This window comes from Homo sapiens, chromosome 7, assembly GCF_000001405.40.
Source record: "Homo sapiens chromosome 7, GRCh38.p14 Primary Assembly".
In the NCBI taxonomy this organism is placed as follows: domain Eukaryota; kingdom Metazoa; phylum Chordata; class Mammalia; order Primates; family Hominidae; genus Homo; species Homo sapiens.
Window position 1 is genome coordinate 70,146,784 of NC_000007.14, and position 19,180 is coordinate 70,165,963.

Sequence of the window (19,180 nt, forward strand, 5' to 3'; positions counted from 1 at the left end):
ATCATGAAAACTGAATGCTCTATACTTATCTATGTACACAGCTCAATTTTATTATTTTGGAAGAAAGCTATGCCTGTTACAAAGATCACTCATAATTTCAGAACCTGGTTAAAGCCAGTGTGCAATTTTGGAGCAGAGACACAATTTTATTAAAAAATTTAAAATATGCATGTGTACATATATGTAGGTAGGGACTATCAAAAGAGATGTCAAAACCATCTATTTATTCTCATTTTTGGATACAGTACACATTACCAAGTTGTTACAATGTGGTTATTTAAATATCATTTGGGCCAGGCACAGTGGTGCATGCTTATAGTCCCAGCTGCTTGGGAGGCTGAGTTGGGAAGATCATTTGAGCCCAGGAGATCAGTGTTGGAGTGTGCTATAATCATGCCTGTAAACAGCCACTGTACTCCCATCTAGGCAATATCTCTTAAAAAAAAAAAAAGTAAAATCATGACTCTCATACATTATACAATCTACATGTTTAAACATTTTATTTAATAATGACGGAAGTAGGCAGATGTTATAACTTTTTCAAAGGTAAACCAAAAGAAAATCCACAGTTATAGATGAGGAATATTGAAATGAGTGTGTAGATGGAGGCAGAACTGGCTTCAAGGAAGTCAGCTGAGTCTCTACCTCACATGACAGAGTTTACATGATGTTAGAGAATGTTTATTTTGCATTGTTATCACTTACCTACAACTTCCAGACTTGTAAAATAGTTTCCATGGAATCAGAAATTAATTATGCTGGAGAGTGTGCTATAGACGATGCCTAGTGTTTCCTTGAAGCACATGTTTTCCTATTTGATGAAAAATAGTCTTAAAGGAAGGTTTGTTTATTTAAATTTGGCCTGATCATTTACACGGGTGTACCAAGAATGTTAATTTAGCATATAAGCCTTTTAAACTTTGCTTTCTCTGATGTTTTTACAAAATAAATCTCCTATTGCACTTTTAAAAGTATTATTTGCTGTCCTAAGGGTGGAAAGCCAAACCCAAGAATCACGGAAAGGATCACTGAAAGGAGTGATCAAGCATGATCACTGAATGGCACTCTAGAAGTCTTCACTCAGCCCACTGGTCTTTCTGTCACCGGCAGTACCTGTAAATTTGGGTGAATTTCTTTCTTCTTGATGTTCCCAAAATATCCCAAAGTACCCTACCAAGAAGTGATCTCTCTTTCCATCTATGTGGCTGGATTCTGTAAACCAGCTACCAGGCTAGTTTTTCTGGGAGGATTGGTACTTTATAGAGATAAAGTCACCTTTAATTCCCTGTAAGTGTTTAATCATATCTGATTAAATGAGCATTACTCACAAATAGGACATTCCAGACAAGATCTTCAAGATTTTTCATACTCATCTTGGTAAATAGGAAGGCCAATTTTTACTGAACCCATGTAAATAACTGTGTTGCTATGAAAAGTAAGAAGACTTAGAGTTTTTGGATTCTGGGGTGTCAGAATAAGATTCCATTTTAAAACACTTCATTTCAGTTTATAAAATCAGAATTGTTATGAGTTATAAATAGCTTAAGAAAAAAGAGAGCTTCCTTATATTCTCAGATAATAGAACACTGACATAAGACCAACAATACTCAAAACAATCATCCTTCATCATTTCATTGAGTCCTGTTTAATTAATTCTTGCTGTACTGAATCTTGACTTATTAATCTCATCAACTCATCTCATGAATTTCTTGACTGAAAGAAGTTCTGGAAATCTTGACTCAGCCCACTGGTCTGGTCAAAGTTATTTAAGCAATGACATCAGAAACCTGTACCCAAGAGTCTATTCTTTGAAGTCTTAATTATTTTAAGTACCTGGTGCAGTTTTTTTTTTTTATTGTGGGTGCTCTGAGGTTGTCTTTCTTATTTGAAAACCAGAACTCTGTTCTACTGTGTTACTGAATGCATAACTTTCAAGGAAACATAAAAGTAAAACAAAAAACGGTGTAAGTGACAGACTTTACATGGCTGTGGTTAATTTTCACTTACAACTTTTAAAAGTGAAAAATATGATGAGAATTTATAACAAAAATAATGTAACGTATTTGATTATTTCTGTGGCATGTAAAACAAAGCTAGTAAAGAATGTTTTACACAAAACTATTTAAGCAAATGAGCTCATAGAAACTATGAAGATTTTAACATATTTCATTACTTTTCAGACTCAGGTATTACAAAGCAAGGTAAATAAAATTCACTTTCCATGTTCTGTTCTCATTATGTTCTTTCATATTTTGGAACAAAATAATACTTTACTTCAAGACTATTCATAGGGTGTTCCATGAGGTCAGAACTACTTCCATAGTATTTCTAAGATGTTATTACCATGCAGTATGCTCATTATTGCTAGTTTGAAATGAATCAGCAAGTCAGCATTTTAAATTTTTTTAAGTTCCAATTTTTAATGTTGTAAATATCAATAGTTAAAACCCACACACACTCTCATAGACACAAAATAAGCTCATTGAGGTCCTCAATAAGTTTTAGGAGATAACTGTAAGCGGTTTGGAGACCAAAAATCTTCAGAAACATTGCATTAGGACACAGGTGTTCTTTTCCTTGAAAAATGGCAGCATACACATAATTATATTTCTTAGAAACTGTTGCTTCTAGATATGATGTCAACTTCTTGCATTAGTTTTAATTTTTAACCAAATTAACTAACTTCTATTTCACATAAAAAAACTGGGGGATAGTTACGATCTTCCTTTTCCATATCAGCATTTTAGAGGAGATCATGAATAAACATAACCAACTTTCTATAGCCACACACATCTCTTATGCACCTTCATAAATTGACAACAATGAACACATTCATTAACTTGACCCAAAGATAGTCTTCTCTGTAGATTATAAAAATAAAAAGCAAAACGATGAAATTTTAAATTATGATTAGTGCTCAGTGTTTTAGTATTCTATCTTAATTAGAAATGGTGTAACTATCCAATGAATATCTGTTAATTAATTTAATATCAGTCTGAGGTTTCAAATTACTTAAAAATCTTGGAAATTATGCTCAAGCCAACATAGTAAGAAGCATAATTACTATTGAAGAAAAGTTTTTGAGAATATTGATGCAGTTTGGTCAAAGAAAAATAAAGACAAACATAAACATAAAATAGAAATAATGCTAGCTTATTTGGCCAGGAAACCAGTATATTTTTAGGTAAATTATCTAGTGTAGAGTTAAAATGTTTACTCATGTACTTAAAACTGATAAAGAAGACTTACTGTTTTTATTAAGCCAAGATTTATTAAACTAATCTTATTTGGCAAAGTTACACGTAAATTAAGTGAACTTGAGTTCATAAAATGTTTCCGAGGTAATGTATGCAAGAATTTATTGTTTAATTTAGTACATTTAAATGGTTAGAGATTCAATTCTTTTCTGTGAATTTTAGGAATATTTAGTATATGTAAGCACTTACACTGAATAAGGCTATTAGAACAAAACTCCTTTAGTCTTAGAGACTTTATAATCTCATTATTAATACCATCTGAGGTAGGAAAATATTGTGCACACAATGAAAGGTAAAGGTACTTTTGAATTGTAGACCCTCAGATGTGTAGAAAGCATACAGTTCCAATTCTAGAATTTCAGCCATAGGTCAAGAGTAAATACAGAAACACAAAAAGTTTCACTAGTCCAAATTGCAAAGAGCTATTCCTCTTCCCAGTAGACATGCTGTTCTTAATTATTTGAGCTCAAAACAGACACATAGACCATCAGAAAATACTAACAGACTAGAACTTTTTTTTCTCAAGTGTTTTAAGTGATAGAAATCTAAGCTTACTGTGTGGCACATTTCTTAAAGAAGCTTTTCTGTGTTTAACTGTACATTTTGTAGTTAGCATTTTCATTCTCATTGATAAATTCAACAGACAGCAGGCCAGTCAGCCTGTTTTAGGTTCTGTGGATATAGCAGCAGTAAATAAGACAAAGTTTCTCTTTTCATGACACTCATAGTTAATCAAATTAATCCCTAATATGCCAGGTGATAATAGGAATCTAAAGAAAAATATTCATGAAAAGAGTTGGGCTTTCAGTAAAGAATAACAGGGACTGAATTTATTGTTCTATTAGAAACAACCAAAACAAAAGATAAAATACATGACACAATGGTTTGCATGACACTGGACATAAGGCAGTAAGGACAGTGATCCCTGAAAGAAAGTAAACAAATGTAGTCATCTCTTTGAGTGTCCCAGCTTCCTGCCTTGAGAGAATTCCAGGCCTCCATGCAGGGCAGAGGGAATTCAGAAGTACCAAGTGGAACTCAGTAGACTTTCTGCATTAGGAGAAGATACTGAGAGTCCAGGAAGAACAAGGTAGCAAAAATTCAAAGGACAGAGTATTAGGGGGGAGGGGTGATGCACGGAGAAAGGATCCCAGAGATCTTCAGAGGATTGCTTTCCGTTATTCATTAGAGAGTTAATTAGCTCATGCATTTCAACAAACTTCCTGATGCCTGGGAAAGAACCATCCAGAAGGATTAGAGGCAACAGTGCCTTACATTAACCCATAGCCAGGAACAGTGCTGATTCTCACCAGCAGGATTGGAAAAACCACTAGACTCATGGGGCATAGAGTCAAGTACATAGTAGGGTCTTGTCTCAGTATTGAGAAATAATCAGTCATTGACTGAGCAGTGCTACAGTTTGCCGTGACACTTTTTATTTTTTATCTTTTTGAGACAGTTTCATTCTTGTTGCCCAAGCTGGAGTGCAATGGTACTATTGTGGCCCACTGCAACCTCTGCCTCCTGGGTTCAAGCGATTCTCCTGCCTCAGCCTCCTGAGTAGCTGAGAGCTAATTTTTGTCATTTTTTTAGTTGAGATGGGGTTTCACCATGTTGGCCCGGCTGGTCTTGAACTCCTGACCTCAGATGATCTACCCACCTTGGCTTCCCAAAGAGCTGGGATTACAGGTGTGAGCCACCACACCCTGCCCTCCCAGCACGTTTAAAATGTGAGTTCTGATAGGGTCAAACTATTTCAAGTGACTTAACTGAATTCTAAAACCATTTTATGGCATTCAATTACGAATTACCAGACATTCAAGGAACCAGGAGAATAAGACCCATAATGAAGAGGAAATCAGTCAATCAGAACTGAATCAGATGTTAGAATTAACAGAGAATGATATTTTAAAAATTATAGTGGTATTCCGTATGTTCAGACAGTTAAGTAGTATAAGAGCAAAATTGAACTTCTAATGTAAATACTACAAGGTATGAAATAAAAAATATATTATATGGGATTAACAGCAGATTAGACATTGCAGGAGAAAAGATTAGTTAACTTGAATTCATAGCAACAGAAACTAGCCAAAATGAAACATGAAAAGATTAGAGAATTTGCAGATTGAACAGAGCATCCGTGAGCTGTGTGAAAACTTCATACAGTCTAATGCATGTAAATTGGAGTCTCCAGAGAGAGGAGGGTGAGAGGACAAAAGTAATTTCCAAATTTGATGAAAATAGTGCAGAACATCAGAAACATAAAGAAAATTACACCAACACATATTATAATCAGATTTCTCAAAACCAATAAGAAAGGGAAAATCTTATAAATAGCCAGGAAATAGTAAAAAGACATAAATGCAGAGGAACAAAGACTGACAGCAGATTTTTTTTTTTCTGGAAAAAAAAAATGCACTGGAGCAACATCCTTAAAAGTACTAGAAGAAAAAATTGCCAACCTAGAATTGTATACCCAGTGAATATAACTTTCAAAAGACATGGATAAGAGAATGAGATGATAATCCACAGGCTAGGAGAACAGTTTTGCAAAGTTTGTATCTGATAAAGGACTTTTATGCACAATATATAAAGAGATCTTAATATTCAGCATTAAGAAATCAAAAAGCCTAGTTGAAAAACGAGCAAAAGATTTGAACTGATGTGTCACTAAAGGCAATATACAAATGGCAAATAAGCACATGAAAAGATGCTTTACATCTTTAATTATTACATAAAAGCAAATTAAAACCATAATAGGTATATAGTAATATATTATTACACACCTATTAAAATGGCTAAAATGAAAATGACTGACTACAGCAAGTGTTGGTGAGGATATTGAGGAATTGCAACTCTTTTACACACTAGTGGGAATATAAAATGTACAACCATAAACTCTAGTTTCTCTTTAGATCATGTAAATCTTTCCCCTTTTTAAAGATACAACCAATTGAGAGAACAGTTTGATAATTTATTAAAATGTTATATATGTATGTACAATATATTCTAGCCATTCCAATCCTGGGTTTTTACCCAAGAGAAAAGAAAGCACATGTCCATACAAATATTTTACATGAATGTTCATAGTAGCTTTATTTGTAATAGCCCCAAATTGGAAATTGGCCATATGTTCATTATCAACTTAATGAATGAAAATTTGGTATATTCATACAACAGAATACTACTTAGCATTAAAAAGGAACAATGTATTGATACATGCAACAACATGGATTCATCTCAAAATAATTATCCTGAGTAAAAAAAGAAGCCACACAAAAAAGGTACATATTGTATGGTTCCAATTTATATAAAATGCTAGAAAAAGCTGTTTAATCTACAGTGACATAAAGTAGATCAGTGGTTGCTTGGAGAGGCAGGCACAGAATTGGGAGGGAGGCATTACCAAGGGGCAGGAGTAAACTTTTGTAGGTGATGGGTATGTTCATTATCATGACTGTCAGGATGGCTCCACAGATATATTTATAGGTCAAAATTTATCAAATTTTATCCTTTAAATATGTGCAGTTTATTATATTTCATTTATACTTCAGTAAAGCTGTTTTAAAATGATTATAAAAACTATTTCCCTGCTGTTGTTAACACCCTGAGATGTCTGCCTCTTTTCCTATCTTTCTGTGTTTTAAATACACCAGCCTACTGCACTTTAATACCTCTCTAGCTCAGACAGCTACACACAAAACTTACTCTGAAGAATGTCAAAATGCATGTTTTCATCAGAGAAATATCTCATGGTCCTTTGTTAAATGTTCAAAAATTCATGATTGGGCTTTATAAGGCAAATATGTCCTGTTTTATAGAATTACGGGAGAGAAAATGCATACAAAAGAGCCCAATCCTTTTTTTGGCTGGCTTTTATGTCAGAGCTCAAAATTGCTCTCTGATAAAATGTAGGCCACCAGATTGAATTACTTCATTGAACCACTGCTGTCCTCTGTTAATGGTAATTGCACAGATATAGCAGTCTTTCTCGGCAACATCTCAGATATTTACCTCCCACTGTTTTTCAATTCAAACCTTTGATGAAAATATTCCCAGTACTTCTTTAAAGCAGACATCCAACTGTCTTTCTTGACAAAAGCAAGGTCTCTAAATCAGATCCTGACAATTTGTGACACAGCAGTCTATCCAAATCACCTTTTACCTATGTCACTATGTCATTTCCTGAAGAAAAAAGTGTCCATCAGACAAGCAATTTCTGTAGGTTTTGGGGGCTGGAAGGTTGGTATGCCAGCAAAAATGAGAGAGGAAAAGGGAAAAATAATTTTTTCCTTTGACTTGTGTGGAAGGAATTCAGTGAGGGGTTGACCAGATCTAATAAGCAAAAGAGGGGTTTTGTATATTTAAAAGATACATTTTTATAAAGAGAGATCTATAGATATTTGTTATTTTCAAGATGGTAACAATTGAAACTTGAATCTAGTGATTTCTGAAAGCTGCTCCCTTTAAGGAGACAGGGAAACAAGGTTAGTTTTTTTTTAATTCTTAACTTTTTCTGTTAGACTACTTTAATATGACAATATTTAGCAGTTTATTTTCTCGTCAGGGATTCAGCTCAGTTTCTGGTCTACCTCCTGTCCTGAACTGAGCAGACTACATTTCCTCACATGAAGGTTGTAGGTTGTACAAACAATGCCACTGGCATGAACCATGATCAGCGCTCTCCACTTGACTCATGGTGACTTTGGAGGCTGGAGTGCAGCACATGGTAACCAGGAGATCAGCTGGATCAGCCTCAGAGTGAAACTCGCTGCTATTATCTCTTTGGCTATGGTTGGTTGGGTGCTTTTTTTTTCCCTTTTAGTATTGGAAGGATATAATTGATACTTGCTTTCTTGGATCAAATTGTAGCATCATATGTTTGACTGATGGGTTAGTTGTAGGAGCTGTCAGAGCCCCCCTGGGACCTGCTTTACAGGTTTGGTGAATGAGCAGCTGACAGCACAGCAAGCACACTTTCTGCTGCCAGCCTGGTTTTGTTCTTCCCAGGTGGATGTTTCATTATAGGAATGGGCCTCAAAATAACATTTGCCCAGGAATATTTCTAGAGAGTGGTCATCTTTGGTGGCACTGTTATGGTGGTATGTTGCTCATTTAGAGTGGTCTCATTCAAGCAAGACCCATACATCATTTGGGGAGAACAGTGAGGAAAACCGTGGGCTGAGCTCTGGGGAGGGTTCGATCTGGGAATAAGGCATGTCCTAGAATCTCAGTCAGGATTCTACTTTCAAGAGACAGTGCAAGGCTCCTAGGAAGTTGGGGCCAGGAGGTAATTAAAGAGGTAGAAAGAGAAAATCTTTTAAAATCAAGTTTCTGACTGCATGGGCTCTTGAATGTGGTCTTTACTTTGATTGTGGCCTCAACATACAGGTGGTAGCAGAGTCCTTGAAGGGCCCTTGACTTTTTTTTTTTTTTCAGAGATCAGGGAATTTGTAATTTAGAAGGAGAAAACTGGCACTCTTGTGCCAGTAAAGCCTCTGCTGATAGCTGTGTGCCGTTTGTTTTTAATCCTTTCTCGGTATCCGTCTCTGGCCATCCTTATCTTTACTAGAAATCAAAGGCTGTGAAGGGACCACCAGAAAAATAAATAATTCATAGCTTTTCAAAGCCTGAGCCCCAAATACTCAACTTTCAAAGCATGAGCCCCAAATATCCCTTCCCTTGGGCTTGAATTTGCTAAACTGGAGCCTGTGTTTACTCTACTAGGGTAACCAAGTATTCAAGAGCTCAGAGAAAAAAGGACTGGCCACTATACCTCTTTGGAGGTAAGAGAGGAGCCCGTGTGAGTTCATGTGTAGAAGAATCACTTTCACCTGGAATAGAATGTCAATCCCAGAATCTCACTATCTGGCAGGCAGGAAGTGATACCAGTTTCTGGCTTGGAAAGGACATCTGAAGGATCCTGTTGGTTTTGTTTTGTTTTGTTTTGTTTTTTTCTCCTGTTGGTTTTGTCTGCTGACACGTGGGTAGTGCTGACCCAGTGTCTGACCGGATTGTCTCCATCCATAACTTCATCTAGCCCTGTTTACAAAAGAATGAACACAAGTGACAGCCTCAGTGAACCTGCACCATGAGGATGCCCTTACTTCTCCCACACTCTCACTTTCTTCTCTTCTTGGCTCCTCTTCCCCTGTACTTCTCTCTGTTGACATAGAATATGCAAAGTCCAAGAGATGTGGCAATGCCAGTAAGAGCTAAGTTACTTGCAGCTGGCGGTGCCACCTGTGCCTATCAAATTTCAGCCAAAGCAATTGCTTTCCCAGAATGCCCTGTTTTGGGGAATTGGAAAGTGAATCTGTAGGGGCGGCAATGGCTGTATAGAAGAGAGCTTTTCTCTGGGCTCAAATATGAGGACAAAATTGTGAAGTAGGACTGTAGATAATCCCAAATCCCCACTTTTGCATCTTCCTGAGCTCAGAGGCAACCCAAGAGATTTCCGAGTTAATCCTTTGGACTTTAGGTGAACTCTCAGCTAGAACCATCGTTTGCAAGCAGATCTCCTGTGGAGGTGACAGTTCCATAACCTATCCTGGTGGTTGTATAGTTGAGAATGTTTGTGATTCCTTCTCTCTCCACAAGACCTCACCACTTCCAGTTATGTTCATTTTATTTTTGTTTAGTCATTTTTGTGCTTAGGGAACAATTTTTCAGCTTTGTACTCTCACCTCATAAAAGTCCTTTGTATCATTGTGAAAAAGCAAGTCAAGGCCTGGCGTGGTGGCTCATGCCTATAATCCCAGCACTTTGGGAAGCCGAGGCAGGTGGATCACGAGGTCAGGAGTATGAGACCAGCCTGGCCAACATAGTGAAACCCCATCTCTACTAAAAGTAAAAAAAAAAAAAAAAAAAAAAAAAAAAAAAAAAAATTAGCTGGGCGTGGTGGCAGGCACCTGTAGTCCCAGCTACTTGGGAGGCTGAGGCAGGAGAATCGCTTGAACCTGGGAGGCAGAGGTTGCAGTGAGCCAAGATTGTGCCATTTCACTCCAGCCCGGGTGACACAGTGCAAGACTCCGTCTTACCAAAAAAAAAAGCAAGTGAAATTGACATTTTAATTTAGTCTGACTGCATTTTTCTATAATTTTCTAAGAATTTGTCACTTTTTAGTATTTTCTCTTTTCTGATAAACTGTTCCAGCTTTTCATCACTTTTTAATCAGCTTTCATCAGTTTTATCATACTCAACCTCTGGTATTTTTCTTTGTATGCTCTCTTTTTCTCCTTTTTTTGTTTTGTTCATGAGACAGGTCTTGCTCTGTTGCCCAGGCTGGAATGCAGTGGTGTAATCTTGGCTCATTGCAGCCTCAACCACCTGGGCTTAAGCGATCCTCCTATCTCAGCCTCCCAAAGTAGTTGGGACCACAGGCACATGCCACCATGCCTGGCTAATTTTTTATTGTTTTATTATTTATTTATTTGTTTATTTATTTATTTTTTCTTTAAGAGATGGGGGTCTCTCCCTATGTTGCCCAGACTGGTGTTGAACTCCTAGGCTCAAGCAATCCTCCCACCTTGGCCTCCCAAAGTGCTAGGAGGCATGAGCCACCACACCTGGCTCTTTTCTGTTGTTCATTCTCTTCACCCTTGTTTAGATCCTAAAGTGACCCAGGCACTTCAGGATCTGAAGATAGCTGGATGATGATGAGTCTTCTTAAAAGGTAGCATTTTATAGCAAACATGATGTAGAGCCACTGAAGGGTTTTATAGTTGCTGTCCTCAGGGGCTGGATTTTTAAACTGGAATATCCATGGGGACTTTGAAAATTCCACCTGCTGGGGCTCTACCTCATTTGAGAACCACTACCTTAATAAGTTCATGGCCTTACAATGGGAGTGGGAGGAGAGGTGACTTTGGAGCAGACAATTACAATGTGAGTGACAGTTATCTCTTTCATGAGTACTGCTGTACAAACTGGGAATGCCTGATCTGGTTCTTGGAGAGGGAGTGGAGGTTAACCTGATTTATGTAAAGTTGTAGTGGTCATGGCGGGGGAGGAGGTTGCATTCCATGAAGCACCATTTGGAAAGACCCAAAGTGTGGGGCCTGGTTATTTGGAGGACCTGGAGATGTTGTTGGAATGCTTAGAAATTACAGGAATGAGGATAGGAAGGAGCCAGATCCCAAGTGGTCTTGACAAGTCTTGTTAAAGAGTTTTCATTTCATAGTGCAAGTGATGTAGAGCCACTGAAGGGTTTCATGTTGTAGAATTTATTAGATGTGTGTGAGAGATAGCTCACTCAGTTAGTTTTGTGGAAGATGGCTGTGTAAGCATGAGATTGGAGGCAAGAACTTCAGGAAAAATTATGATGATGACTGGGAGAGAAGGTGGACAATTCTAGAGATGTTTAGAACACAAAATTGACAGGACAAAGTCAACGAGTCAATGTGGCAGTGATTTATAGAGAGGCCTCAAGGATAACCAAGTATCTGCTTTATTCAACCAAGTGAGTGCTGGTACAATTCACTAAGAGAGGCAGTATAGGGGAGTGAATAAGAGCACATATTTGAATCCTAGACCTGCCACTCGCCTATGAGTTACATTTTGGGTGTATTCATTTTTAAGACGTCCATGGGATGAGCAAAGAAAGAGATCCTGTGGGAGTTTGAGTCTGGAGCTCAGAGAAGCAGCCTGGACCTCTGGTGCACGTGATCCATGCAGTCCATGGATCAGAACTCTTTCAGGAAAAAAAAAATGCGGTTATTAGGACAAGTGTTGAGTATGTGTGATTTTTATTTCTTTGTGATTTAGCTGGAGGACTATAGAGCTGACCAGAATAAAGGCAATAAATATATAAATAATCATCTACCTATGATATACTCAAGGCAATAAATATATAAATAATCATCTACATATGATATGAGTATATCATTATCTGCTGTCATTATTATTAGTGAAGGCATGTTACATATTTGTTTGGACCACAGCATACTTTCAGGAAACTCTTGATAAACAGCTTTCTTTTTTATTTATTGCCCTGCTTTCTTTTGATTGCTTTTGCCGTAGCATCAACCTGCATCTTATTTTAATCATCTCCTCTCTGAACATTGATGATTCCGCAGCTTTGTTAGAATACATCTTGGGAGATTCCATTTTTTAAAGGCTCTTTCAAGGGCATATGGCATTAGATGATTATGATATGGCGCATTTAGAATATGCCATGATTTCTCTCCTGCTGAATCCCTCACACGTGTTTGAAGTAATTATTATCCTCTCTGCTAGCTCATGAGACTTGTTAGATCACTATTTGTGGGTGTCATAAAATGTTGGCAAGACCCCAGTGTGAAACGCAGTGTGAAATACATGTGGTTAAACTTCTCTGATTTTGTATGTCAATCAAAACAAAATGGCTTAAAACAGTAGATGAATTTCAAAAGAAACTTCAGGATTCTAGAGCAAAAATGACACATGGAACTCTTTAGGTCTGTGTTTTGATATTTAATTCAGGGAGTCATACACAGGAGGACGTATGCAATATAGTAGAATTTAGATGTGTTATGATTATATCTGATAATGTTACAAATACTGAGCAGCTTTTTGTTACATCATATTTGGTCCCAAAATGTCATGCCATGCAATGCTGGGGGTGTTTAAATACCAAATTTATGCATATTTTCAAGGAAGAAGCAGATAATCTTCTAACTATACAGACTGTGTTACTTATCAGAAATAATAGTTTATGAATTGTCAAACAGTGAAAATTTTAAACCATGTATCCCTGATAATACTTTTATGTCTTCATTAAGCATCACTAATACTGAATATGAGTATCTATCTGATGAGGACCTTAGAATCTTATTATAGTTAGATATAACAAGATTTTATTTATTGTTTTTATCATGGTGAAGGGTATATAATGTCAGCATGATCTCTCCTTTAGTTTTACCTCTTCTGGTGTTTTGCAGTCTTAAATGGGTGTCTTTAGGAATATCCCTTATTTCTAGTTTTAGAGCTCTTACTTCTAGTTTTAGAGCTTCTACCTAATAAAGGTATAATTAGATTGGTCTTTTCTGCATTTATTAATCAAAGACTATTCTTTTACATGTGACTTTTTAGCAACATCCATAATTTAAGTGATATTTGCCCAAATATTATCTGTACTCCCACCTTTACAAGAGGATTTAATAACTTAATAGAGTATGTTATAGTAATGAGTTGGATGACCAAATATATTTCAACTAATAGAAAGACCATGATGTAGCTGCTGAAATACCTGAGAAAGGTAGCTTACCATATAAAGAAAGACAGCTAGGATTTTGATCACCTTCTTGCTTTAGTGAATGATGCTAGATCTTCCTCCAACGTAAATCTTTCTGCTCACTTTAATTCTAGATGTGTGAATTCTTGACTTGAGGACTTTGATGTCAGATTTCACCTACTTGAAGGCCCATTGGAAGAATAACTTCTAACTCATTAAACAATTCCCCATTTAGCCAAAGTTAGTCTCATAGATGTCTGTGATGGCTTGTTAGGTGGCACAGTGACTAAATTTGATGCTCAGAAAAGATGGTCTTAACAAAGAGTTCTTTCTTTTCACACAAGTGTAAGCTTTCTGACAGTTATCACCCAAAATGCATCTTGTTATTGTTGTCTTTTCTACTCATGGCTGTGAGTGTCAGACACTGTGCTTCCATTCACTAACATGAAGACATTTGTGAAAGGGCCTTCATCAATATCTGACACTGGTGAATTGAAGAATAATATACTAGCTACATAAAACTGTGTTTATTCTTCCTAAACCAATCATTGCTTTTTGCAGCATTTCCAATGAAATTGTGATTTTTTAGCAGATTCTTCTTTGATGGAGCTGTGATTTGCAATAATCTTGTCATGCCAGGCTCAAAATACTACTAAATGAAGACATTTGTGGAAGGGAATGATTGTAAATTGCATGCAAATTTCAACTCGGCTGGAATTAATCAATATGGAAACAGAACTTGTGCGTTCCTGATATAATGATGCTGAAACTAATCCCATGGAGTTCTATTTCCGTGGGAATTAGGCAGTTATTTTGCTTTAAATCTATCTCTCTCTCTCCTTTTTTTACCCTTGAAGACAAAGTCCTGTTTTTGAGTTTTTTAAAAGTAACTTCTTTGGGGATTTAGAGAGGTTATAAAGGAAACAGGAGTAAAATCAAGCATCTGACTTCCCCTGTGGGGACATCTGACATTTCCTATTTAATTTGCTGTGCTTGTTTAATGAATCTTTCCCCCAATTTTTCTTGCTAGTTTTTTTTTTTCACTGAAAATTCTAAGGCTTATGAGATAGTAGGTGATGCAATCTTTATTCTATGTTAAATATGCGACACTGGTCTCTAAATGGGATGTTCTTTCTTTTACACCAGTTTCTTAGGGTGATCCCAGCTTATCCTTGATGAAAGCTTTTTGTTTTTGTTTTTTAAGTCGCTTTTGGAGGAACAGGTCACCAACCTTGACTTTTTAATGCCTGCTTACATTCAAATTTCTCATTTTCTTTGATTGGCAAGATTAGGTTTATGGCCTTTTATTCTTACACTTGGCAACTAGATCGGTTAACCTTAGATTATTTGTTCCCCACCTTTTCTTCAGCTGTTTAGGTCACAAATTTGTAGAAAGGTCTTATCATTGGCATATTTTGTACCACCAGTGCATCAGTGCTATACTCATATATCCTTAGAGGCTGACAACTTACTTCCCAGCCCCTTTGGAGTACTTTAAGAATCCCTTTATTTATAGCCCAGCTTAAGCCCCAGTGGGTAACACTCCATAAACCTGCAGTGACATCCAGTGGCCTCGTGGTGTAATTTTTTACAAACTTTTCTAAAAGGAATTACAGGGGCAGTATTTCCTGTCAAAGAAAAATACTGTTGGAGTTATTGAAGGGGGTTTCCTAAATACATTTATGTACAATAGTTACTGGCATACTCCTTGATAGGATTACTAGGAGAATGATTATTCATTTTTTGGTTTTTGAGTGAAGGATTAACGGCCTCTGATGAAATCAGCTTTATTCCAAGATCAGATAAAAAATATAAAATTGAGGACAATATTTTTAAGAGGACAATTTTTAATTAAAAAAAATCAACAGTGTAGAATTTCCTATTCTGGATAGATTTAAGAAATAAAGGAGAGGCCGGGCGCGGTGGCTCACGCCTGTAATCCCAGCACTTTGGGAGGCCGAGGCGGGCGGATCACGAGGTCAGGAGATCGAGACCATCCCGGCTAAAACGGTGAAACCCCGTCTCTACTAAAAATACAAAAAATTAGCCGGGCGTAGTGGCGGGCGCCTGTAGTCCCAGCTACTTGGGAGGCTGAGGCAGGAGAATGGCATGAACCCGGGAGGCGGAGCTTGCAGTGAGCCGAGATCCCGCCACTGCACTCCAGCCTGGGCGACAGAGCGAGACTCCGTCTCAAAAAAAAAAAAAAAAAAAAAAAAAAAAAAAAAAAGAAGTAAAGGAGAACCTTTAGTTTGTGCAACTGATCATGAAGTTTAAAATTCTATGTTGTTCCCCTTCTTGGTTCTTGTGCAGTCAATGTCTTTGAGAGTCTTCTTCCACTGTGTTAACTCTTTAATTTTCTCAAACCACCTAAGACTGCTACTATAAATCAGAGCCAAGAGATTCCCAATCTGATTACTGTCTTTAATTGTATTATTAAACGAAAACATATTTTTATAAAAATGATGCCCCATTATTATAAAATATTTACGTGGTAGAAAAATGTACGAAGAAAATGTGAGCACATCAGTGCAAATCTTACCCTTTTCACAGAAATAACCAGCGTTAACATTTGGTAAACCTCTTTGAAAATGCTCTCTATATGCTCTTTTATATTCTTTCCATGCATATATATTGATAGAACGATAAATAAATTGGAAGCTAAGAAATAATTTCATGATACTGAATTGAACGACTTATAACGGCTGTGTTTATTTGGTTTGTAATTACCGCAAAATGTTATACTAGGTGGGGAGAGGACCAGGAAGAGGTTTGCTTTTTTTAAAAGAGATGACTTTGCCTTTCTTGTGACAGGGAGGGCTGGCTAGGCAGGATCAGGTTTGGGAGAGGGTCAATAGAGAGGAGTGGTGTGCAGCCACCTCATGGCTGCCAGCTATGAGGTTTGGTTTAGATAAGTTAACTGAGGCTGGAATGGGACAGCATAGTTCATATGTTTAAACACCCAGGACGAGATGTTCCCAGAGCTCAGAGAGTTCATACGAGTAAGTCTAGCATGTAGAAACTAAGCCAGTAGAATGTTCCAAACTGATGCTAGGCACATTCATACCAAAGATGAGTGTTAGGTTGTGGTGGTGGGGGGGGGGGGGGCAGAGGGGGAGGGAGAAGGAGAGGGAGAGATCTTTAGATATCTTTAGCAATTGATACTGAACCAGAAATTTGAAATTTAGATTTCGCTCTGTCATGCCCATTCCCCAGACACTTCTCAGATACAATGCAAAAGCCATATGCTACTGGGAGAGAGGCAAGAAACCTGTTTGCCATTCTAGTCCTAACAAAGATTAGCTGCTGTGGGGGAAGGACTATGAATCTCCCCCTGCTTTGCAAAGAAATGGGGCAAACGTCGTTTGCAGTTGAGAGAGATCATTTTGCCCATGATTCTGCACTAATGCACTGATCCTCTACCTCTGGTAGAGGAACAGGAAACTTTCTCATGCCCAAGATATTCCACCAATACAAGGCAAAACTTGGCTTCCCCGTGGGAGGGATGTGGGGAAGAAAACTGATTGTATTTCATACCCTGAACTGAGTAGGAAGCAGAGATTACATGTCATTGGGGTGGAGGAAGAAATGCTAAGAAAGTCATGTACTTGAGTCCCAGATGTGCAGGGCTAGGCTAAGACTGTGCTTGGAGCAGGAGAACTGAGAAATTCTCCTTCCCCCCTCCAAGAGCCTTCAACCATAACAAAGAAACAGTAACAGGCTTGCAGTCTACTGCTAGAGGAGTGGCAAGAGCATGGGAAGAAACGCAGACACCCTGCAATGCTTATGTGCAGGTCCTACTTAGGTCCTACTGTAAGTTTAGGGTGGATCCTGAACACTGAGAAAACCTTTTTGACAGCAAAAAATAAAATAAACTTTCATTTCTATATAGATTTAGATTACAAAGTTATGCAGGTAGAATTCTCGTATAAAATCAATCTAGTTTTCCCTGTTGTTACATCTTACACTTGTAAGATGTAGTTGTTATAAGTAGATGTAATTGTTATAAGATGTAATTGTTATAAGTAGTAAACCAATATTGCTACATTATTATTAAATGAAGTACATACTTTATTCAAATTTTCTTAGTTTATACTTTACTGATCTTTTTCTGTTGTAGTATCCTATCTAAAGTAGGATACTATGTTGTATGTTTAGTCATTATATCTCCTCAGGTGCCTGTAAGACTGTGACAGTTTCTCAGATAGTTTTTCTTTTTGATGATAGTTTTAAGGAGTACTGGTCAGGTATTTTAGAGAATGTTCTTCGATTGGTTGGATTAAAAAATTTTTTTGATGTTTTTCTCATGATTAGACCCTCAGTTGGCCTCTGTTTTGAATCTTCTAGACTCACAAAAGACTATGTCACAGCAGTCTATCAGAGGAGGAATTTTTATCCTGTGGTGCATCAACACTAGTTATAGCAACAGTAAAATACAGACACAATTCAACTACTGAGTAGATTTATTCAGTCCCCCCATGCTAACAGCTTGAAAGAAGTAGTTACCCATTTCCAGGTAGAAATATTATTTACCTGAGTTTCTTTTATACATAAAGTTTGGGTTCAATTAAAAAAATTATGACATAGACACACTCACGTAAGATAAAAAAAAAAGGTGACTGTTCAAGATGTAAAATAGTCAACAAAATCTGACATGCAAACTTCAGACAGGGACCTTGAAATAACTATGATTACTGTATTAAAAGGTTTAATGGAAAAGGTGGACAATATACATAAATCGTGATGTGGAATTTTAGTAGAGTGATGGAATCTGTAAGAGTCAGAAAAAAATGCTAGAAATGAAAAACACAATATCATATATGAAAAAATTTTCTGTGGGTTTATCAACAGACTTGATACGATAGAGGAAAGAATAAGTGACCTTGAGGATAGGCTAATAAAGCCTTTCAACTGAAATAGAGCAAAAAGAGTGGAAATAAAAAATGGAGCATTGCCATAGAAAATTTCCTGACCGCCTAACATACTTCAAGAGAGAGAAAATAGGCTAGAAGAAACGCTAGAAGAGATAATGGCTGAGAATTTTCCAAAATGAAAGATAGCCAACCACAGACTCAGAATAAATATGAAGAAAAGCATACCTACGTACACTGAAGTCAGACTGCTGAAAATCAAAGATAAAGAAGTCTTGAAGACAGAGAAAAAAATAAATATTCATGCAGAGGTATAATAGATAAAAGCTCAGTACATTTTATGTCAGAAATTATGTTAGTGAAAAGAGTTGGAGTGACATCTTTAAAAAACTGAAAGAACAAATACCCTCAACCTAGAATTCTGTATCCAGGAAAAATATATTGCAAAACGGAAAGTAAATTAAGTCTTCGTCAGATGAAGCAAGAGAAGTTTTGCTAGCAGAACAGGTCTATCTGAAGAGCTTACAGGAAGCTCTTCAGACAGTAGGAAAACTCTTCAGATAGCAGGAGTACGCTGCTCTATAGAAAGAACATTTTGTTCTACACAAAGGAATGATGGACACCAGAAATATAAAAATATGAATAAACAGACAAGACATTTTTTCTTCTAATCTTTTGAAATGAGATTAGAGTATGGGTTGACAATGAGCCTGGTATGGTTTGACTCTGTGTCTCCACCCAAATCTCATTTCAAATTGTAATCCCCACGTGTTGGAGGAAGGGCCTGGTGGGAGGTGATTGGATCATGGGGGCAGTTCCCCACTGCTGTTCTCATGATAGCG

The 19,180-nt window shown here is 37.1% G+C and overlaps 1 protein-coding gene across 26 annotated transcripts in view, besides 1 other annotated feature; it reads left to right on the plus strand.

The window, feature by feature from the left end:
• AUTS2 (activator of transcription and developmental regulator AUTS2) overlaps window positions 1-19,180 on the plus strand; it is a 1,195,032-nt gene that overhangs the window by 548,309 nt on the left and 627,543 nt on the right. The gene's annotated exons all lie outside the window — the stretch shown is intronic.
• Window positions 4,142-4,643: an enhancer, noted in NCBI's record as "NANOG hESC enhancer chr7:69615911-69616412 (GRCh37/hg19 assembly coordinates)". NCBI's record gives its function as "activates a minimal SCP1, AML or CMV promoter by ChIP-STARR-seq in primed H9 embryonic stem cells {active_cell/tissue: H9 hESC(primed)}" and the evidence as "EXISTENCE:reporter gene assay evidence [ECO:0000049][PMID:30033119]".